This window comes from Homo sapiens, chromosome 7, assembly GCF_000001405.40.
Source record: "Homo sapiens chromosome 7, GRCh38.p14 Primary Assembly".
Classification (NCBI taxonomy): Eukaryota; Metazoa; Chordata; class Mammalia; order Primates; family Hominidae; genus Homo; species Homo sapiens.
The window spans coordinates 77,718,369-77,742,810 of record NC_000007.14 but is presented as its reverse complement, the minus strand read 5'-3'; the positions used below and the strand labels follow the sequence as shown (position 1 = coordinate 77,742,810).

Genomic DNA, 24,442 nt, shown 5'->3' with positions numbered 1-24,442 from the left:
GGTGCAGTGCAATCGTGCAATCGGCTCACAGCAACTTCCGCCGCCTCCTGGGTTCAAGCGATTCTCCTGCCTCGGCCAACTGAGTAGCTGGAATTACAGGCATGCACCACCACGCCTGGCTAATTTTGTATTTTTAGTGGAATCGGGGTTTCACCACGTTGGCCAGGCTGGTCTCAAACTCCTGACCTCAAGTGATCTGCGTGCCTCGGCCTCCCAAAGTGCTGGGATTACAGGTGTGAGCCACCACACCAGGCCTAAACAACATGGTTTTGCTGAACACTTGTTTTCCTTCTGGGAGTCTGGAATTTTAGTTTGTGGTAGGCAAATGGTGCCTATATGACCAATGTCCAAGAAAAACCCTGGGCACTGAGTTTTTAATGAGCTTCTCTGGCAGACAAGATTTCACATGTGTTGTCACAATTCACCACTGCAAGAATTAAGCACATCACATGTGACAACATTGGGAAAGGACTCTCAGAAACTTGTGCCTAGTTTCTTTCAGAAATTGCACCAAGTGCTATTTTTCTTGTTGATTTTACTTTGTATCCTTTCACTGTGTGTCTGTATATTTTTTTAAAGATGGATTCTTGCCGTGTGTGTGTGTGTGTGTGTGTGTGTGTGTGTGTGTATTTTTTTTTTTTTTTTTAAAGATGGGTTCTTGCCACGTTGCCCAGGCTGGTCTCGTACTCCCAGGCTCAAGCAATCCTCCGGCCCCAGCTCCCCAAAATGCTGGGATAAGAGCTGTGAGCCACCATGCCTGTCCTCCTTCACTATAACAAATCATAGCCATAAGTACAACCATATGCTGAGTCCTGTGAATCCTTTCAGCAAATCACAGGCCCTGGGAGTAGCCTTAGGAATCCCAGTGGACACAGGCAAAATGCATTCTTTACATGAAACCAAACTGGGGTACTAGCATTCACCAGATAGATTAAGAGCTTTATGTAATCTCTCGCTCATTTCCTATCTCTACATATGAAATGCAGTAGATATGTATGCAGAAAATTTTAAAATAAGGAAAAAGGCCATTTTAAATACCAATTTGCTTCTCCTACACTAAAGAGTATTTAAAGTCCACATTAAATCTATAATTCTTTTCTTTTCTTTTTTTTTTTTTTTGAGACCGAGTCTTGCTCTGTCACTCAGGTTGGAGTGCAGTGGCACGATCTTGGCTCACTGCAAGCTCCACCTCCCGGGTTCACACCATTCTCCTGCCTCAGCCTCCCGAGTAGCTGGGACTACAGGTGCCTGCCACCACGCCCAGCTAATTTTTTTGTATTTTTAGTAGAGACAGGGTTTCACCACATTAACCAGGATGGTCTTGATCTCCTGACCTCATGATCCACCCATCTCAGCCTCCCAAAATGCTGGGATTACAGGCGTGAGCCACCACATCTGGCCTAAATCTATAATTCTGTAACAGAACCCAATAAAGGATCCTGACAGGTACCTATAACAGAAAGAATAGAACTGCTATCCAACTAATCTGCCCCTTCAAAAGTGTAAGATGAGAAGTAAAATGGTGGCCAGGTGCAGTGGCTCATGCCTGTAATCCCAGCACTTTGGGAGGCTGAGGCGGGTGGACTGCTTGAGGTCAGGAGTTCGAGACCAGCCTGGCCAACATGGTAAAACCCCATCTCTACTACAAACACAAAAATTAGCCAGGCGTGGTGGCGCACGCCTGTAGTTCCAGCTACTCGGTAGGCTGAGGCAGGAGAATCGCTTGAACCCGGGAAACAGAGGTTACAGTGAGCCCAGACTGTGCCATCGCACTCCAGACTGGGTATCACAGTGAAACTCCGTCTCAAAAAAAAAAAAAAAAAAAGAAAAGAAAAGAAAAATGTTGATGGGAGACCCTCCCCAAAGCCACATACAAATGCACAAAGCAGACCACACACACAAAGTACCACAGATACACACGTGTATAGAGTCAGAGCCAGAGAGAGTGTGCCAGACTGGGAGTGAGGGAATCAGAAACAGAGATGCAGGTATACTTAGAGCCAGAGAGAGACACTCACAGAGGCAGAAAGAAGCGCACACAGAAACAAAGACAGCATGTGTTGTTAATGGCTAATTATGAAAAGAAAAATAAAAAAAAACTTTTAAGATCACAAATTCATTGAGTTAATTCTACCACTAATTTTCGTATACTTTCTGTATTAATAAAGTGAAAAACAAAATTCAGAAAAATTTATAAAATTTATATCTATCTTTCTCTCTCCCCCATCCCATTATTACATATAGGAAAAAAGTACTAATTAGCTTAGTTATTCTCAACTTTTGGCCTCTGGGATTCGAATCTGCTTTTTTTGCACTGCAATGTTGTCACTCTTCCAGCCATGATTTACCTACCTGTGACCTTTAGTACACTACCAGTCACCTTGGACACTGGCTTCTTTCAACCCTCATTCTAACTGCTCACCAGCAAACTTATTTAAAATGCTATAATGACAAACATTTACTCTAAAAAATACTATAATCATAACACATGTTCTCACACTTTATCATTAATAAACAACATAAAAATGCCTGGAACATAATGCATACAATCAGAAAAAGCAGTTGGTGAACTTTAGTATAAAATAAGACCCACTAAATAAGCTTTGTTTCAAACTTATTTGTTCCTTTAAACTATTTTGAAAAGAGCAAATAATCCAACTTTCTTACCAAATAAACTTTTATAAGGTTTTCGCATTAATAAAACACTTTTTATCATATATATAATTTTGTGTGTATTTCCAGTCAGAAAAAACTTGACAGGCCGGACGCAGTGGCTCATGCCTATAATCCCAGCACTTTGGGAGGCCGGGTCAGGCAGGCTGCCTGACCTCAGGAGTTCGCCATCAGCCTGGGCAACATGGTGAAACCCTGTCTCTACTAAAATACAAAAAATTAGCCCTAGGCATGGCGGCGTGCGGCTGTAATCCCAGCTACTCAGGAGGCTGGGGCAGGAAAACTGCTTGAACCCAGGAGGCAGAGTTTGCAGTGAGCCGAGATCGCGCCACTGCACTCCAGCCTGGATGACAGAGCAAGACTCCTCTCAAAAAAAAAAAAAAAAAAAAAAAAAAAAAGACACATTTTTTTTTTTTTTTTTTTTTTCCTGAGACCAAGTCTTGCTCTGTCACCCAGGCTGGAGTGCAGTGGCACAATCTCGGCTGCAGCCTTTGCCTCCTGGGTTCAAGCAATTCTCCTGCCTCAGCCTCACGAGTAGCTGGGATTACAGACGAGCGCCACCACGCCCGGCTAATTTTTCTATTTTTAGTAGAGATGGGGTTTCACCAGGTTGGCCAAGCTGGTCTCAAACTCCTAGCTTCAAGTGGCCCACCCGCCTTGGCCTCCCAAAGTGCTGGGATTACAGGCGTGAGACACTGCGCCCAGCCTACCTGACACAATTTTTAAGAAAAACCTGGAGAAAATGAATTGGTGTGACATACTTGACATCTATTTTAGATTTTCAAATGCCATCATCCATCAACACCTGTGTATACCACAGCTTGCAACATTATCATTAACAGAAGAAAAAAATTACAAGGATAGAATAAAAGTTGGAGGCCACAAGGAAAAAAGTGGCACACAGTAGTAAATGAAAGTATATTTTCCCTCAGCAAAGTAAATGATTTGTTGTTCCAAGTCACCAACAACAAAAGATGCCTTTCCCTACCACCACCACAGGCTCACTTGGGAAATGGCCCCACATACTAAGCAAATTCTTTCTCGTAGATAGTAACAACAGATAACACTCAGTGCTTTCAATGCGACAAGCACTGTTTTCCCAATGAATCATGTGTTTATTCACTTAATTATCTATGTACTACACACTGAGGAGAGGAGATAGTTTGGTTTTATTGGTGTTTTTTGTTTTTTGTTTTTTTGAGATGGAGTCTCTCTCTGTTGCCCAGGCTGGAGTGCAGTGGCACCATCTTGGCTCACCGCAACCTCCGCCTCCTGGGTTCAAGCGATTCACATGCCTCAGCCTCCCGAGTTGCTGGGATTACAGGCACCCACCGTAATTTTTTGTATTTTTTAGTAGAGATGGGGTTTCACCAACTTGGCCAGGCTGGTCTTGAACTCTTGACCTCAGGTGATCCACCTGCCTCGGCCTCCCAAAATGCTGGGATTACAGGCTTCAGCCACTGTGCCTGGCCAATTTTGTTGCTTTTTAATCACAAAGTTAATCTCTCATACATACTTACAAGAAAGATTTCATAACTATTTACTACTCAGTAGTAAGTACCTGTGAGCCAGATTCTATACTTGGCACTTTCCTCATACTTTCCCTCATTTAATCTTGGTAACACTGTAAGGCAGTAATTAAATTATTACTTACCTCCACTGTGAATACATTTTCCCTAAATTTTTCCATGGACATCCCAGAAGTCACAAATTAATTTCCACATCTATCTCATTCTTTTACCTTAATCATCACTAGTTTCAGTTTAACTCGGTTCAAAATATCACCTAAATTTTTGTCTACTTCAAAGTTAATATCGTATATTTCATTTTTTAAAAATCTCAATTTTTAGGCTGTTTTAAATTTTATTTTCATGTGTAATCTCTGGATTCACATAATTCACATTATGTTAGGAATCCAGTATTCAATCAAGAACATATGAGGCTTTTATAAAGTATTTCTAAAACAGATTCCTTCTCAAGTAATAGAATTTACAGCATGATATTTTCAAATGAATAAGAAAACTATTTGATTAAATCAGAAAAAAAAATGGCTATTGGGCTAAACCAAGGGTAAAGTTAAGTAGACTTGACTTTTTCTTTTCTTTTTTTTTTTTTGAGACTGAATCTCACTCTATTGCCCAGGCTGGAGTACAGTGGGGTGATCTCAGCTCACTGCAACCTCTTGTCTCCCGGGTTCAGGCAATTCTCATGCCTCAGCCTCCCCAGTAGCTGGGATTACAGATGTCCACCATCATGCCCCACTAATTTTTCATTTTTAGTAGAGACGAGGTTTCACCACATCGGCCAGGCTGGTCTCAAACTCCTGACCTCAAGTGATCCACCCGCCTCGGCCTCCCAAATTGCTGGGATTACAGGCATGAGCGACCGAACCTGGCCTTAAGCAGACTTTTCAAGCATTCATCACTAGCTGCTATAAATAACTAGTGTGGTTATATTCAATTCCTGCCTCAAAGGCTTACAATCTAATTAGACAACACAGATAGAATATGCAGGCAAAAGAAACAGAACAAAAGGATCATGAGCATTAACTAATAAGCAGCCATCAACTTAAGCTCTGACGTATTTCTTCAAGGTTGAAAGAATATCGTAGAAAATGAAGTTCTGACATGTAGATAATAGAAAACGAATATCTGAAAACATGACAAAGAATGCAATGAAAATACAGAATCTAATACTCTTTATCTTAGATAATATAAACTACCAGTTATTTTGCTACATATGCAGTGTCGTGGTCTTTCCCCCTCAAGCAAATATAAAGCCTTATCAACAATTAAATTCAATATGAAGTTAATCAAGGTCAACATATTCTCATCATCAACTATCAACATGATAGCACTAGTAAATTTGCTAGCTAGTGAATTCGCTAGTTGTCTAGCAACCGAATGCCACGGATTCTTCTTACCTTGACATCTGAGTGAATTTAAGACTATCCTTACGTCTATTCTACCACAAATTCTCTCTTTACAAGTTCAGACTTATTGACAGGATTTGCAGTATACTTATTACCCAACCACCTACCCCCCAAATTCTTCTCTCCACCCCACCCTCATATATAAACAGCAAATGAATGCAACTGTAACAGAGAAAAAAAAGAATAAAACAAGGATATTCTTAAACATACAAGAAACATACCGCTTCTGATTTAGCTCAGAGTAAAATGTTCCCTCTAAATGCTAGACTATGGTATGGTGATGACAGTCAAATATTTTTAAGAAGATCACTTACTTCACCATCCCTATCATACTAAAACTTGCTTTGGCAATTTTTCTTAATTTCTTCCTTTTAGATTATCTAAATATGAGTAAGACTAGTAATGCAAACATAGAATTAACTTATTTTAAAATAATTTAAGAAATTAAGTTTAACGAAGCTTAACCTTTTAACTTTTTAATGGCTCACTAAATATACTATAAGACATGTTACCATACAGATTAGAACTCTCCGTTGTTACATTTACTTTTCATTTCCTCATCATTGTTCATTCTCCGCAAAATTCAGCACCAAATAACATTTCTTATTTTATTCACTTAGCCAATAAAGATACTGAACAGTATAATAAAGTAGAACTAAAATCACTGAATAAAACTTACTTTTCAGCAAAATCTTTACTTCTCCATTCTCTTTCTTGATCTCATTCATTACTTTATGTTTCTTTTTTTCTCTTTCTTTTTCTTTGTCTCTCTCTTTAATTTTGTCTTTGATTTTATCTGGAAGACAAAACAAAGGAAATATTTAAAATGAAAAAATTACAACTTCATTTATCTGCACAAACTATAGGTAAATTTCTGGAATTACAATACACAAAGAAAATCAGAATGAGGAACAAATAATGCCTTTTCTTTTTCCTCTCAGGTTTTGGGGAATATTTCTAAATTTCCCTTTTTATTGAATATGAAATACATATTGTCAAAATGTATCATTATACATTTTATTCTAAGTATTCTTCACTTCGTGTCAACCAAAATATTAAATTTATTTCAAATCACTTAAAATAACTAACTTTAGGTGAAGCAAAAGCTACGATGGAAAAGTGCCAGTGTTGAAATTGAGCATCTATGGATTAGCAGCATAACAGAAAAATTACTTGATCTCAGTTTCCTAATCTGTAAATGGTAATTGATACCTTCCTCATTATGGTTACTATAAGGACTAAATGAAAAAATATATAAAATGACTACATAGAGCCTGGCATACATAAGACTAGATGTTGGTTCCCTTACCCTTGGCTCCTTTTAAAAATAGTATGACTCAATCTGACTACTTGGTGATACTGTGATATTTAAATAAAGGGCATAATAACTCTAGGGATCATTCATTTGCATTCTAAAACTTCAAACAAAATATTTGATAGCCTATTAAATTCTTCTTTGTTCAAATGACTTCCTATGCACCCAGCAAAAGACAAAATACAGAGAAGGATATACAAATAGTGACATAAACCTTTGCCCTCAAAAAGCTTACGACTGATTACAAAACCATGATGGAAGTATACAAGAACTGTGAAATGTCCTGGAATATAGTAGAGATTATATAGTATACATGCATACTGCATAATCTCTTAAAAATCACTCCTTACTTTCCTTTCTATAAACACTACCATAACCCAGGTCCTAATCATGTAGTGATTAGATTACTGTCTATATAAGCACTGTCCAGATCTAGACAGTAATCTAAATCTGAATTGGTAAACAATTTTATTAATTTTAATGATATATTTTGCTTAACCCAATGGATCCAACACATTATAATTTCAACATGGAACTGATATTTTTAAATGATGAGATATTTTACATTTTTTCATAAGATTTCAAAATCTAACATATATTTTACATTTATGACACATCTCAATTTGAAACTAGTTTCACTTTAAGTGTTGAATAGTCACATAAAACTAGTGTCTACCATACTGAATAGCACAGGTCTAGACTACTTAAATAAATTTTCAAAAAATTAAATTCATGTGCTAATAAACATTTTTAAACTTCAATCATTAATAATATACAAATTAAAAGACATTACTTTCACCTATAACACTGACAAAGTGTTTTTTGTTTTTTTTTTTCAAGTGATAACACTCCAAGCATACGAAAGTACAGCAAACAGGAATTCACTGACTCAACAAATACACAGTCTGAGTACAAGAAAAAGATTAGGGATACAGGGGAGAATAAACGAGATAAAACTCCTTATCTGTTCACATATAACTTAACTTCTGAATTAGATTACAGTGTTCCCACACTTCTGATTGGTTTGCCACTCTTACTTTCTGATGTTAAAGTCCTTGAAATCCTGTCATAGGCTGCTGTCTAGCTATAAAATGTTACTCCAGGCCGGGCGCGGTGGCTCACGTCTATAATCCCAGCACTTTGGGAAGCCGAAGTGGGCGGATCACCCGAGGTCAGGAGTTCAAGACAAGCCTGGTCAATGTGACAAAACCCCATCTATACTAAAAATACAAAAATTAGCCGGATGTGGTGGTGCATGCCTGTAATCCCAGCTACTTGGGAGACTGAGGTAGAAGAATCGCTTGAACCCGGGAGGTGGAGGTTGCAGTGAGCCGAGATCATGCCACTGCACTCCAGGCTGGGTGGCAGAGTGAGATTACATCTTGGAAAAAAAAAAAATGTTACTCCAAGTAGCTGGAGCTTAGACACATTATATAATATTTCCTAAGTAACTAAACTTCTAACAAAATGAACTATTTATATATCACTTAAAATTACAACTGAAAAAAAGTCACCTAAAACGTCTCCACATTTCTTTTTCCAATAATTCAATTTAATCTTATCAACTTAAACGTATTATTTTAGTAACTATTAAATTTTATTAAAGTATAATATTAATGTAATAAAATGAAGATACTTGTGAAACGGCACCACAGAATCCTTCTGTGTTCCCTTCCAGTCTTTGTATAGCACCCCTAAAGGTACTCAGGATGCTGACTTGTAATCATACAGGTTAAAATAACCATAAACTTTTTTTTCTTTTTTTGAGACAAAGTCTTGCTCTGTGGCCCAGGCTGGAGTGCAGTGGCACGATCTCAGCTTCCTGCAACCTCCACCTCCCGGGTTGAAGCAATTCTCCTGCCTCAGCCACCAAGTAAATGGGATTACAGGCACACGCCATCGCACTCGGCTAATTTTTGTATTTTTAGTGGAGATGGGGTTTCGCCATGTTGGCCAGGCTGGTCTCGAACTCCTAACCTCAAGTGATCTGCACGCCTTGGCATCCCAAAGTGCTGGGATTACAGGCGTGAGCCACCACACCCAGCCAACAACTATAAACTTTTAATAGCATATATTCACTATATAAGCCTACCACAATCACAAAACATAAATATTTTTCAGAATAAAATTAAACTAGCTTCTAGGGAAATAAAACTATCATACACTATGACTCAATTATTTTTAAACTTTAGAAATATACATACATTCCAAAAACAAACTGAAAGATAACCCAAATTATTAAAAGCCATTATTTAAAATTATTTATTTAATTAAATATTTAACATATTGAATATATTTAATTTATTTAACATTTAAAATTCCACTATTTAAGGTGGAAAGTTTCTAAGTTTCTGCAATGGGCACATATTAATTTCATAACACAGGAAAAGGAATCTTAGAATATGCACTCGGGTATGATATTAAATAATTCAAGTACAGTTGAAGGTATGAAGTTATTATGTGAAAAACATCTATAGAAACAAAAACAATGGCAAAGCCAAGACAGGAGAGTTATAGACAACGTAATTGCAGTTACCCCTCCTGATATCAAAACATCCTCAGCAAACACAAATAATCCCATCTATACATAAACAAAGGGCATTTTTTTGTGACATCACTTCTGTCCTTAACCCACACATCTGTCTTGCTCTCACCTCTCAGCCTTTCAACCTACCTTTCACCCTTCTTACAATTTTTCCACTTTTTGGTAGAGCCTATCCTTTTTCAAAATCCAGTCTTTTATTCTTTATTTTTTCTTTAATAGAGACAGGGTCTCGCTATGTTGCTGAGGTTGGTCTCGAACTCCTGGGCTCAAGCAATCCTCCTGCCTCAGCCCCTCAAAATGCTCAGATTGCAGGCCTAAGCCACCACGCCCAGCCCAAAATCCAACCTTAAATGCCTCCATTAAACTTCCTGTAGTCATGTTACATGGCAGAGCTATGATAAAGTGGGATACCTACAAACTCAGGAGACCTAGGTTCAAGATTATGCTCTACAACCTAGATAACTGACAAACTTTCAGATCTCCAGTTGCAGCTGTAAAATGGAGTTTGTGTAAAGATTAAATAGAAAATACATACTGAGGCAGTTTGTAAAGATAAAAGCCTTCCAAATGTAGAATAATATCTATTTACCTATAATATTGGTATCCATAATCCCAAAGAAAGAAATTTTGGCCATAATTCAGACCACTGTATATAAAAATCAAATCTGCCACTAATGTATCGTAGTATGTTCCTTTTAAAAAGCCACTTCTAGGCTGGGTGTGGTGGCTCACGCCTGTAATCCCAGCACTTTGGGAGGGCAAGGCAGGTGGATTGTCTGATATCAGGAGTTCGAGACCAACCTGGCCAACACAGTGAAACCCCATCTCTACTAAAAATATAAAAAATTAGCTGGGCATGGTGGCGGGTGCCTTTAATCCCCACTACTTGGTAGGCTGAGGCAGGAGAATCACTGGAACCCAGGAGGCAGAGGTTGCAGTGAACTAAGATGGCGCCACTGCACTCCAGCCTGGGCAACAGAGTGAGACTCAGTCTCAAAGAAAAAATGAAAAAGAAAAAGCCACTTCTAGATCTTTACATACAGAAGTGATGGAAAACAGTGCCGTGGCATCACTGTTTACTATAATACATTACTCCTAACAAGACTAGAATTCTTATTCAGTTTTTATTCATTTATTTCTGTGACCAAGAATTTGTATGGTTTTATCCTTCACAGTTTAATCTCAGGCTTGGGAAAAATTCGTAACTGATCTTCTCATCATAATTCTCAGAATAAAAGTAAGAATTCTAACACCATAAAAGCAAGAAATTCTCTGAAAAGTCAAACTAAATATAAGGATTACACATTTTATTTAAAAATAAAAAGAGAAATCATGACAATGTATTATAGGCAAAAGAATACACAAACAGATCAATGGAACAAAATAGGGAGTCCAGAAACAGATCCACTTAAATACAATCAACTTATCTTGATGGAGATAGAAGTCTTTCCAACAAACGGTACTGGAACAACTGGATATCCACATACCAAAAAAAAAAAAGTCTAAACTAGGAGAAGTGGTATGTGCTAGAAAATAACACAGAAGAAAATCTAGATGACCAGGGATTTTGGCAATGACTTTTTAGATTCAGCACCAAAGGCACAATAGATTAAAAAAAAGAACTGATAAAGCTGGATTTCATTAAAATTAAAATTTTCTGTTCTGCAGAAGACACAGTCAAGGGACTAAAAAGAAGCCACAGACTATAAGAAAATACTTGGTAAAGATGTATCCAATAAAGGGTTATTATCCAAAAAAAGGTAACTCTTTAAACTCAATAATAAGAAAACAAACAATTAAAAATGGACCAGGCTGGGCACAGTAGCTCAAGCCTGTAATACCAGCATTTTGGAAGGCTGAGGCAGGCGGACTGCTAGAGCCCAGGAGTTCAAGACCAGCCTGGGCAACATGATGAAACCCTGTCTCTACTAAAAGTACAAAAATTAGCTGGGCACGGTGGTGCGTGCCTGTAGTCCCAGCTACTCGGGAGGTTGAGGTGGGAGTTTTAGGTGAGAGGTTGAGATGGATCACTTGAGTCCAGGAGACAGAGGTTGCAGGGAGCAGAGATCGTGCCACTGCACTCAAGCCTGGATGAACGAGTGAGACCCTGCCTCAAAAAAAACAAACAAACCAAAAAAAACACTAAAGACCTTAAGAGACACCTCACCAAAGAAGATATACAGATAGCAAATAAGCATAGGACAAGATACTCCACACCTGATGTCATCAAGGAAACACAAATAAAAACAAAAATGAGATACCACTACACACCTATTAGAATGACCAAAATCCAGAACACTGACAACACCAAATGCTGACAAAAATACAGAGCAAAAGGAACTCTCATCTGCTGCTGGTGCGAATGTAAAATGGTACAGCCACTCTGGAAGGCTGGTTAGCAGTTTATTACAAAACTAAATATACTCTTATCATATGTTCCAGCAATCACAGTCTATGGTATTTATCTAAAGGAGCTGAAAACTTATGTCTACACAAAAATCTGTACCACAACATTTACAGCAGGTTTACTCATAATTGGCAAAACTTGGGAACAACCATGATGTCCTTTAGGTAGCACATTCAGACAATGGAATATTCTTCAGCACTAAAAAGAAGTGAGCTATCAAGCCATGCAAAGACATGGAGGAAATGTAAATGCATACTAAGTAAAAGCAGTGTGAAAAGGCTACATAACGTATGCTTCTAACCATATGACGCTGTGGAAAAGGCAAAACTACGGAGACTTTAAATAAAAAGATCAGTGGTTGCCAGGGTATAGTGGGGAGGAGGGATGAATAGGCAGAGCACAAAGGATTTTTAAGACAATTAAAATACTCTGTGGTGTATGGTGGATACATGTCATTATACGTTTGTCCAAACCCATGAAAATTTATAACACCAAGAGTGACTCCTAATGTAAATGATAGACTTTGGGTGGTAATGATGTGTTAATGCAGGTTCATCAGTTGGAACAAATGTACCACTCTGATAGGGGATGTTAATAATGGGGAAGGCTATGCAAGTGTCGGGGGAGAGGATATATGAGAAGTCTGTAGCTTCTGCTCAATTTTGCTATGAACCAAAAGCTGCTCTAAAACATGAGGTCAACTTTTTAAGGCATAAATAAGTAAATACAAAGGGGAGTGGGAGAAACAGATGCAAACAGACCTATGATACAGTTTAAACCCAAACAGCCAAAGGAATCTAAGAACGGAAGAAAGAAGGAATGTATGACTAAGTTACTATCAACCCAGAACAAAAAAGAAATCATATATGTGGAAAAATGAACATGGGCTAAACACACACTTTTTAAACATATATAAAGTATGTGTTTAGCCCACACATAAAGATTAAGATATAAAAAAGAAACTCATTAAAATAATTGTTTTTTTGAGACAGGGTTTTGCTCTGTCACATGGACTGGAGTGCAGTGGCATGACCACAGCTCACTGCAGCCTTGACTTCCCAGGCTCAAGCGATCCTCCTACCTAAGCCCCTCAAGTAGCTGGGACCACAGGTGTACACCATCACACCCAGCTAATTTTTTAATTTTCTGTAGAGACAGGGTCTCACTATGTTGCCCAGGCTAGTCTCAAACTCCTGTGCTCAAACACTCCACCTACCCTCAGCCTCCCAAAGTGCTGGGATTACAGTGGTGAGCCACTGCACCCAGCCTAAAATAATTTTAAACAAAATACAAATGGGATCTTCAGAAATATGGTGAACTTATGATTTAGCAGTATAAGCCACATATGCTTCAGTGTAATATGTATCTCATTCACCCAATATACTTCTATTAAGCATGTATGGATTTAGGAAATAAAGATGAATACTGCACTAAGAATCTTACAGTCAACAAATGCCAGTTGATTCTTATTGTAACTACCACTTTGGAACACCTGTTCTTAGTAACAAAATAATCTCATCTGGTTTCAATAAAATTCACTAGTCTCCACTATTATTAAAGTCATGAGGGCTCCCAAGGTGAGTCAGTAGTGGACACTGCCTTCATTTCTGTTCTGACCTTGCAGCTATGGGGCCCCCAGAAACCTTGGAGAAATTCTTGTTCACCACCTCCTTCCAACTGCAGCCATACAGACCTCAAAATTAGGGCAGAAAATCAGACTCAAGAAAGTTAATAACTCTTACATGGAATAAATAAAAAGAATTCCACACATAAAAACACCACAATGGAAGCTGCAAAACAGCTAAAGACAAAGAGAAGACTATAAAAGAAGCGGAAGGAAAAAACAGACTACAGCCAAGAGTCTACTGACTTCTCAACAGCCATAAGCCAGCAAAATATTTTCAATATGTTAAAAAATAAATAAATAAGGACAGTGGCATCATCAAATGGCAGAGCAGAAGCCATCTGGCTTCACTCTTCCCCACAGAAAACCAAAAACAAATATCCAGGATCAAGACTATCGTTAGCAATATCCCAGAACTCAAACCTGAGGTACAGATAATCTCCAGGGTCACAGGGAAATTTAAAACTCCAAACAGATGGTAAGAGAAATCGACTTCTGTGATTCCCCTCCCCAAATATGCGAGGCACCCCATAGAAAAATCCCCCAAGACTAAAAGTTTTACATTAGAAAAAGTAAGAATGAGGCAGACAGCCAGCTTCTTCACCATCTTGTGTTCTCCTGCAGGAAAACAATTTCTGCCTTAATCCGCAAGAAGCACTGCAAGTGCCTTTAGGGAGAAAAAGCCCTGAAGGCAGCTAGAGACAGCCCAGGAAACTGCTGTTTATCTCTGCCAAAAATGATGCCAAATCAGGGTGGCTGTTGAGCAGCGCCACACCATAGGAGGCAAGCTCCACGGGTCTTCTGGGCGTGAACCTATAGCCAGCCCTCGTGACTTTTTAAAATGTACTAAAACCCTCTAGAGGAAAGTAAAAAATAAACAGATTACATAAAAGATCAGGTAACTATGGAAATGAACTCTTCAACAGTAACAGTACACAGATGCTAAAAAGCAATACAGCAATGCCTTCAAAATTGCGAATGAAAATAATTTTTAACATACAATTTTATAATCTGCCAAACTATCAATCAAGTATGCAGGAAGGCATATTCAGACAAGCAAAAATTTTTAAAAAATTACCACACATGCATGCTGTCACAGGAAGTTATTTGAGGGTGTGCTCAAGTAAACTAGGGAGTAGTAAACAAAGGAAGACAATGTGAGATCGGAGGACCCAGCATAAAAGAGCAGATGAGAATGTATTAAAATAAACACTGTGCAGATGGCTCAGCGGATAACTAGTTCAGGCTGAAGTACAAGAATGGAGCTCTTAAAAACAAGACCTCCAGAAACAAAGGGGGACCTGACAAATTTTCTCTTATCACAGAACACAGAGAATAGAGAGAAAATGAAGCAATGGATACATAAGTAAATGAAAAAGAGAGGCAATTTTTAACTACACAAAAATGAAGAAAGCCATATAAAAGGATCTCTCCCTGATCTGCATTAAACAGCATTTGCAGAGTCATTATAAGCACTGACTATTGTTTTAACTAAGGTATGTGGAATTATTAAAAAGGAAAGAAGCTAGGTTATAAAAGTGGTCATTCTGGCCAGGCTCAGCGGCTTACACCTGTAATCCAAACACTCTGGGAGGCTCAGGCACGAGGTGTACTTGATGCCAGGAGGGTAAGACCAGCCTGGGGAAGAAAGTGAGGCCTTGTCTCTACAGGGGAAAAAAAAAAAAAAAATTTGTTTTTTAATTAGCTGAGTAAGGTGGGACAGGCCTGTAGTCCCTGCTACTAACTGAGCCACTGCATTCTAACCTGGGTGACAAGCGAGTCTGTCTTGAAAAAAATACTAAAAATAAAAATAAATAATAAAAGTGACAATTCTTATCTAAACAAGAATGCACTATATGTCTAAAACTAACTAAAAAAAAGTAGTATGAGCATTTTATTCAGAAACTTGGAATTAAAAGCAGATGGGGGGCTGGGCGTGGTGGCTCACGCCTGTAATCCCAGCACTTCAGGAGGCCGAGACAGACAGATCACTGGAGGTCGGGAGTTCGAGACCAGCCTCACCAACATGGAGAAACCCCGTCTGTACTAAAAATATAAAACTAGTTGGGCGTGGTGGCACATGTGTGTAATCCCAGCTACTCAGGAGGCTGAGGCAGGAGAATCGCTTGAACCTAGGAGGCGGAGGATGCAGTGAGCCAAGAGAGTGCCACTGCACTCCAGCCTGGGCAACAAGAGCGAAACTCCATCTCAAAAAAAAAAAAAAAGCAGATGATGGCCAGGCACAGTGGCTCACACCTGTAATCCCAGCACTTTGGGAGGCCAAGGCGGGTGGATCACGAGGTCAAGAGATTGAGACCATCCTGGCCAACATGGTGAAACCCCATCCCTATTACAAATACAAAAATTAGGCCGGGCACAGTGACTCACACCTGTAATGCCAGCATTTTGGGAGGCCAAGGCGGGAGAATCACTTGAACCCAGGAATGTGGAGGTTGCAGTGAGCCGAGATCGCACCACTGCACTCCAGCCTGGGCAACAAGAGCGAGACTCTGCCTCAAAAAAAAAAAAAAAAAAAAATTAGCTGGGTGTGGTGGCACGCGCCTGTAGTCCCAGCTACTAGGGAAGCTGAGACAAGAGAATCGCTTGAACCCGAGAGGCAGAAGTTGCGGTGAACCTAGATTGCGCCACTGCACTCCAGCCTGGGTGACACAGCAACGTTCCGTCTCAAAAACAAAAAAAAGTAGATGGGATACTAAACGAGCTGAGGAACACGAAATCAGTAGGGAAAGCTAGGGACACTTCTTACTATAAATTTTTCGATATTTTTAAATTAAATTTTGTTTTTAAAATTTACAGTTATTGTCTTCCTCCCCAAAACCCTAAACTCCAGTCTAATCATGAGGACAACATCAGACAAATCCCAGTTGGGAGACGTTCCACAAAATACCTAACTGGTACACCTCAAACAATCAAGGTCATTAAAAGCGATGGAAGTCTGAGATACTGTCTCAGCCAAAAGGAATCTAACGAGACATGATGATTAAATGTAATACAGTATCCTGGATGGGATCCTTGAACAGAAAAAGGATATAAGACAAAATACTAAGGAAATTCTGAATAAAGTATGGACTTTAGTTAATAATAATGCATCACTACTGTTTCTTAACTATGATAAACGTGCTAGAAAAATGTAAGATGTTAATAATGGTGTATGGGAATTCTGTACTACCTTTGCAACTTTTCTGTAAATCTAAAACTACTCTGAAATGAAATGCTTACTAAAAAACTTATAAAGGCAAAACTTAATTAGAAATACAGACAGATACACATGTATATGTATGTGTATATAAATTTAACAATATATAACAGAAGCGCTACAAGACACACTGTTAACTAAAAAAAAAAGCAGGTTACAGAAAAAGGCATATATATAGTATATTTAGGTTTTTAAAAATAAACTAGATAATCTTAGCCAGGCGCAGTGGCTCTTGCCTGTAATCCCAGCACTTTGGGAGGCAGGCGGATGACCTGAGGTCAGGAGTTCCAGACCAACCTGACCAACATGGAGAAACCCTGTCTCTACTAAAAATACAAAATAAGCCGGGCATGGTGGCGCATGCCTGTAATCCAGCTACCTGGGAGGCTGAGGCAGGAGAACTGCTTGAACCCAGCCTGAGCAACAAGGGCGAAACTCCATCTCAAAAAATAAAATAAAATAAAATAGTAAACGATATAATCTCTTCTGTGAGTGTGTGTTTACATATGTACATATGTAAATGCACAGAACACTTAAAAGGGCTTACCCCTGGCCGGGCGCCATGGCTCATGCCTGTAATCCCAGCACTATGGGAGGCCGAGGCAGGTGGATCACCTGAGGTCAGGAGTTCGAGACCAGCCTCGCAAACATGGTGAAACCCCGTTCATACTAAAAATACAAAATAAGCCGGGCATGGTGGCGCATGCCTGTAATCCAGCTACCTGGGAGGCTGAGGCAGGAGAATCGATTGGACCCAGGAGGCAGAGGTTGCAGTGAGCAGAGATCGCACCACTGCACTCCAGCTTGGGCCACAAGAGCAAAATTCCATCTCAAAAAAAAAAAAAAAAAAAAAGTGGGGGGCTTATCCCTAGGGAAGAAAGAAAAAGAACTTCTGGTTTTTATTTCATTTACTTCCTAAATTATTTGAAACTTCTGCAAGAGAAAGGGATTTGTGGCCGGGCGCAGTGGCTCATGCCTGTAATCCCAGCATTTTGGAAAGCCAAGGCGGGTGGATCACCGGAGGTCAGGAGTTCAAGACCAGCCTGGCCAACATGGTGAAACCCCGTTTGTACTAAAAATACAAAAAATTAGCCAGGCATGGTGGTGTGTGCCTATAATCCCAGCTACTCGGGAGGCTGAGGCAGGAGAACCGACTGGACCCGGGAGGCGGAGGTTGCAGTGAACCGAGATTGCACCACTGCACTCCGGCTTGGGCCACAAAAGCGAAACTCCGTCTCAAAAAAAAAAAACAAAAAAGAAAAAGAAAAAAAATAGGGGGCTTACCCCTAGGGAAGAAAGACAAGGAACTTCTGGTTTTTATTTCATTTACTTCCTAAATTATTTGAAACTTCTACAATAGAAAGGGATTCATGGCCGGGCGCAGTGGCCCATGTCTGTAATCCCAGCACTTTGTGAGGGCAAGGCAGGTGGATCACCTGAAGTCGGGAGTTCGAGACCAGCCTGGCCAACAGGGTGAAACCCCATCTCTACTAAAAATACAAAAATTAGCTGGGCATGGTGATGCACGTCTGTAATCCCAGCTACTCAGGAGGCTGAGGCAGGAGAATCACTTGAACCCAGGAGGCACAGGTTGCAGTGAACCAAGAGCGCACCAGTGTACTCCCACCTGGACAACAGAGTGAGACTCTCAAAAAAAAAAAAAAAGAAAAAAGAAAAAGAAAGGGATTCATATATTATGTATTATTTGTACAATCAAGTTGGTAGCCTAACTCTCCTTCCCGAAAGAATTAATAATTATGTTCAGATACATACTTTTTTAAAGATTTAGAATCACTCAGTATATTAGAAGGAGATACAAGAAAAAAAAATTCAAAGTAAAACACTGAATATATAACATAATATGTACTCACATAAACACATTAAAAAAAGTTTCCAAAGGTCTCCCTCCATTAAAACTGTTCAAGTGCTGTTCTACCTCACTTGATATATATTATCTCGATGTTATGCTATAGTTAATCAAGAGGAGAAAAAAAGGAGAAAATTAGAAATAATTATAAGCTGGTGCAAAGGCTCATTCATGCCTGTAATCCTAGCACTTTGGGAGGCCAAGGTGGGAGGATAGCTTGAGCCCAGAAATTCAAGACCAGCCTGGGCAACACAGAGAGATCCTGTCCCTATTAAAAAAAAAAAAATTTTTTTTTTGAGACAGAGTTTCACTCTTGTGTCCCAGGCTGGAGTGCAGTGGCGTGATCTCAGCTCCCTGCAACCTCCGCCTCCCAGGTTAAAGCAGTTCTCTTGCCTCGGCCACCCGAGTAGCTGGGATTACAGGCATGCTCCACCATGTCCAGCTAATTTTTGTATTTTTAGTAGATACTGGGTTTCACCATGCTGGCCAGGCTGGTCTTGAACTCCTAACCTTGTGATCCTCCCACCTCGGCCTCCCAAAGTGCTAGGATTACAGGTGTGAGCCACCACGCCCAGCCAAAAAAATTCTTTTTAAATTAACTGGGCATGGTGGTACATGCCTGCAGTCCCAGCTACTTGGGTGGGTGAGGTGGGAGGATCGCTTAAACCCAGCAGGTCACGGCTGCAGTGAGCTGTGATCATGCCACTGCACTCCAGTCTGGGCAAAGAGTGAGACCCTATCTCAAAAAATTAAAATTAGAATTAAAAAATAAATTATATATGTATTCTGAATATGCATACACACATACATTATTTATTAGGCTTAACAGTTTTTAAGAAAAAGAAGCTATACTTTTACTCAACCACAGATTTTGATGTATAGGAAATTCTTTATATAGGTTCATTAATTTTTTTAAGAAATTACAGCATCATAAAAATCCACACTGGAAGTTCTTAAGAAATGTTGGCCGGGCGCAGTGGCTCACACCTGTAATCCCAGCACTTTGGGAGGCCAAGGCACGTGGATCACTTGAGGTCAGGAGTTTGAGCCCAGCCTGGCCAACATAGTGAAACCCCATCTCTACTAAAAATACAAAATTAGCCAGGCGAGGTGGCGCATGCCTGTAATCCCAGCTACTCGGAAGGCTGAGACACAAGAACCGATTGAACCAGGAGGCGGAGGTTGTGGTGAGCCGAGATTGCACCACTGTACTCCAGCCTGGGTAACAAAGCGAAACTCTGTCTCAAAAAAAAAAAAAAAAAGAAGAGAGAAAGAAATGTTAGAATTTCATACTACAGCTTTCAGTCACAATATATTGTTGCTGCACAAACATCAAACAAGCTTCACACCATCACAGTTTTGCCTGCCCTGAATATGAGCCATGAGCCATAATTCACACCATAATAACGCAGTCCATGAAATCAACTGAACTGAACGACAACAATGACATTCCCCACCTTCCCTCTCTTACATTATTCCTTCCAGGAATAATGTATGGCTAGAAATAGATGAGAGAACAAGCAGCGGCAGAAGAAGAGAAATGTAAAGAATTTGAAGCAGAAGGAAAAGCAGTTACATTACAAAATGATTACAATTACATACACTAAAATAAAAATTGAAGGAGATGAAGGATACAGTAAAAAGAAGAGAAAGGACTTCACAAACAGTAAATGGGAAAGAAGTGATTTATCACAGCCCCTCGCTAACACAGCTAATCAAAGCTAAAAAATCCAGTGGCTTCTCAGCCCTTTTTTCCGTGGACCTCACTGCAACATAACAGTATCAATTCCTTCTCAAAATTTCTCCCTAAGTTTCACTGAAACTGTACTATCCTACCTGACTCCTCCCTCATTCTCATAATCCCACCATCCAAACCTGCACATTTACCTAGGATCTCTCCTAGGCATTCCTCTCTCTTCTCTATATTGCCTCTAAAAATGCACTCACATGATGTAAACTATAACCCTGTGGCAAACTAATCTCCAAATTAATCTCCCAACCCAACCCCTCTGCCAAACTCCACATCTTCATCTCCATAATATTTAACACCAAAATATCATCTTTCTAATATAAAAAAGTTCAAGTTCTCCTTCCAATTCTCTATGTTAATGGCACATCCTCATCCAACATCCAAATACAAAAAATTTTCAGTAACACTAATAATACTTCTTTCTTCAATTTTCCCCTAACACTAAATCACTTGACCAGTTCAGTTTATACTTCGTTAAAATATTTCCATCTTTTTTTCCCTTTCCAGAGTCACCACCTAGTGTATTCTCACTAGCTTTTAAAAGAAAGGGTTTCCGTACCTATAGTTTCTTTCCTTTCCACCAAGTAAGCACAGTGACCAAAAAAGATTCCTTAAATGTATAGTTTACCATGTCACTATCTTCTGCTTAAAACGAATGAATAAACCAACTCAGCTTACCTCTGCCTATCTAAAAACAGAAAACTCCCATAATATGTCATTCAAGAATCTTCAGTTAAGACTCACCTTCTTTTAGCCTTTTCTTCAACTATTCACCCACATATATAACAAGATTCCGGATTACTTGATTCATCATTACTCAAATGTCTTACTCCAATATTTTTACTAATATATCCCTTAGCTAAAATGCGATTGCCCATCCCAATTCCTCCTGCCCAAATCCTACACATCCTGTAAGATTACGGTGAAATTTAGCTTCTTCCACTAAGCACTCCTTGATGCCCATGATCACAAATGATCATATCCTCCTCCTCCCTCTTCTATAATTTGAATTCTGATTTTTTGTATAACTGCTCAATCTGCCCTCCTGGTTTCTAAGCTCCTTTGCAATTATCATATCTTGCTCTTTGCTACCTTCTGTAGAACCTAGAATGGTGCTTTGCATATAAGTGATGCTCAATGTGAATGAAGTTTCCAGGAGGCAAAAGATTTAAGTAAAAAGAAGGAAATTACTATTGATAAGCATTTGAAGGCAATCATAGAAGACAAAAAAGCAATACACAGAAAAAAAAAAAACAAAATTACCAACAATGAGCAGTGTCTTTTACATTGCAGCTATTTATCTCTCCAATTAAATTAAAAATTATCTCAAGGCAAGAAACAGAAAGTTCTCCTCTTTGTATCTCCCTTTCTTCCACCACCACCCAAGCACAAAGCGGGCCATAAATAAGTGTTAAATCCACATAAGAAAAAAAGCAGTAGGCTGGGCACGGTGGCTCACCGCTGTAATCCCAGCACTTTGGCATGCCGAGGCAGGCAGATCACTTGAGGTCATATGACCAAAATGGTGAAACCCCATCTCTACTAAAAATACAAAATGTAGCCGGGCAAGGTCGCCCACGCCTGTAATTCCAGCTACTCAGGAGGCTGAGGGATGAGAACCTGGGAGGCTGATGCTGCAGTGAGCCAGGATCACACCACTGCACTCGAGCCTGGGTGACAGAGTGAGACTCTGTCTCAAAAAAAAAAAAAAAAAAAAGAAAAAGAAAATGAAAAAGAAAGAAACCCCAAATGTATTGTGATATAATAGAAATAATTCAGGCTTTGTAATTATACATATTAAGCTCAAATTCTAGCTCTGCCAATAACTGATCAAGTGACATGAAGCAAGTTACTTAACCGTGTTGTGCCTCAGTAATCTCATCTGTATAGATAATAACACTTGTCTTCTGCAATTTTTTTTTTAACGGAGTTTCGCTCTTGTTGCCCAGGCTGGAGTGCAATGGCACGATCTCAGCTCACCGCAACCTCTGCCTCCCGGGTTCAAGCGATTCTCTGCCTCAGCCTCCCGAGTAGCTGGGATTACGGGCATGCAGCACCACGCCCAGCTAATTTTGTATTTTTAGTAGACCCGGGGTTTCTCCATGTTGGTCAGTCTGGTCTTGAACTCCCAACCTCAGGTGATCCACCCACCTTGGCCTCCCAAAGTGCTAAGATTATAGGCACGAGCCACCACGCCCAGCCTTTTACAATTTTTATAACAAGGCAACATATGCATTATTTCCAACACTATGCACAATACCTAATTTTAAGCACTGGACAAATGTAGCTATTATTATTAAATATAAACAGAATTTTATTACAAAAGCACCCAGTAACAAAGAGTTACAAAAATACTACAATAACAATAGTCACAAGAACACACAAAGAGTAAGAGGAAAATAAAAAAGGACACATACAGCTGGGAACAGTGGCTCACACCTGCAATCCCAGCACTTTGGAGGACAAGGTGGGAGGATGGCTTGAGGCCAGGAGTTCAAGGCCAGCCTGGACAATATGGCGAGACCCTTTCTCTACGGAAAATACAATAATTAGCCAGGCACAGTGGTGCGCACCTATAGTACTGGCTACTCAGAAGGCTCAGTCAGATGGATCACTTGAGCCCAGGAGTCTGAGGCTGCAGTGAGCCATGATCACACCACTGCACTCCAACCTGAGCAACAGAGTGAGACCTTGTCTCTAAAAAAAATTTTTTTAAATACATATATACATAAAAACCATGCCAGGCATAACATGATAAAGTGGCCTGTGAAAAATTTTAGCTCAGGTTTTCCTCACTAAACTATCAGAAAAGATTGGTCTCCAGAGCAGAAATAAAAGCATTTCGTCTGTTCTCAACATATTATAAAACCAAGATATGAAGTACTAAGATATTGTAGGTGGTATCTGGTTACAGAATTAAATCACTTTAAATCACTGAATCGTGTGTCTATAGCTACTATATCAAACGTGATTGTTTCACATATATACAACCTGGGGCATTCTTAGACCTCTAAGTCCACATTATACAATTACATTATTTATTACAATTTAAATTATACTCTGTAATGCAAATGGTAAATCATATACATAGTTCTTAATGATAACAATATGTGTGGGCATATGTAACTATGGGAACCAGACTCTCGTTGTACTTGTTATATACTCTTAGTTACACTTTTTCACACAACCAATTAAAGTTCTACATTTTTTAAAAGTTGTATATTTAGCTAACATCATTAGATACACACCTACAGATGCTTTATCAATCTTAATTCAATTGGAATGTGCTCCAAGTGAAATTTTCCAAAACACACATACATTATGTGCCCTAATGTATGTGCAGTGAGAAATTGGTTCAGACTTCCAAAGCTAAGTCATAAGAAGACTTGCTGTTTCCACCTATGTCGCTGGGTGTCAAGACTCTTGGAGTCCTGAGCTGCCACGTAAGAAATCCAACTTCCTAATTAACAGACCATGTGGAATGGTCCTGAAACAACTTGGAGAAAGAGAAGGGTTCACTCAGTTCAGTATCTAGCCATACATAACACAGCAACAGGCACGTGAGTAAAGTCATCTTGGACCTTCCATACCAGACCAGCCACCAACTCAACACCAATGAGCAACTCCAGTCAACACTGCGTGAAGCAGAGGAAATCACCCAGCCAATCATGCCAGAATTTGTGATTCACAAAATCATCTGATATAATAAAATGGTTATTGTTTCAAACCACAAAATTTTAGGGCAGTTTGTTATGCATTAAGAGATAATTCAGCCTTCACAAAGTCTTATTATAGATAATGAAAAAGTTGTTTTGTTTAAGTATATACAAGACATGCACTGACTCTAGAAAAATGTTAAAGTAGAAAACTGTCTTACAAAATACACTGATGGGCCAGGTGCGGTGGCTCACACCTGTAATCTAGCACTTTGAGAGGCCGGGGCAGGCAGATTGCTTGAACCCAGGAGTTTGAGACCAGCCTGGCAAACATGATAAAACCTCATCTCTATAAAAAATACAAAAAAATTAGCCAGGTGTGGTCGTGCACTTGTAGTCCCAGTTACTCAGGAGACTGAGGTGGGAGGATCAACTGAGCCCAGAAGTTGAAGCCGT

General features: G+C 39.4%; 1 protein-coding gene across 1 annotated transcript in view; it reads right to left on the bottom strand.

Annotated features, from left to right (window-relative positions):
* Positions 1 to 24,442, bottom strand: part of RSBN1L (round spermatid basic protein 1 like) — an 86,564-nt gene that overhangs the window by 40,212 nt on the left and 21,910 nt on the right. Inside the window, exon 2 of the mRNA NM_198467.3 lies at positions 6,285 to 6,401. Within this exon, the coding sequence (NP_940869.2) occupies positions 6,285 to 6,401 (117 nt within the window). The remainder of the gene's footprint in view (positions 1 to 6,284; positions 6,402 to 24,442) is intronic.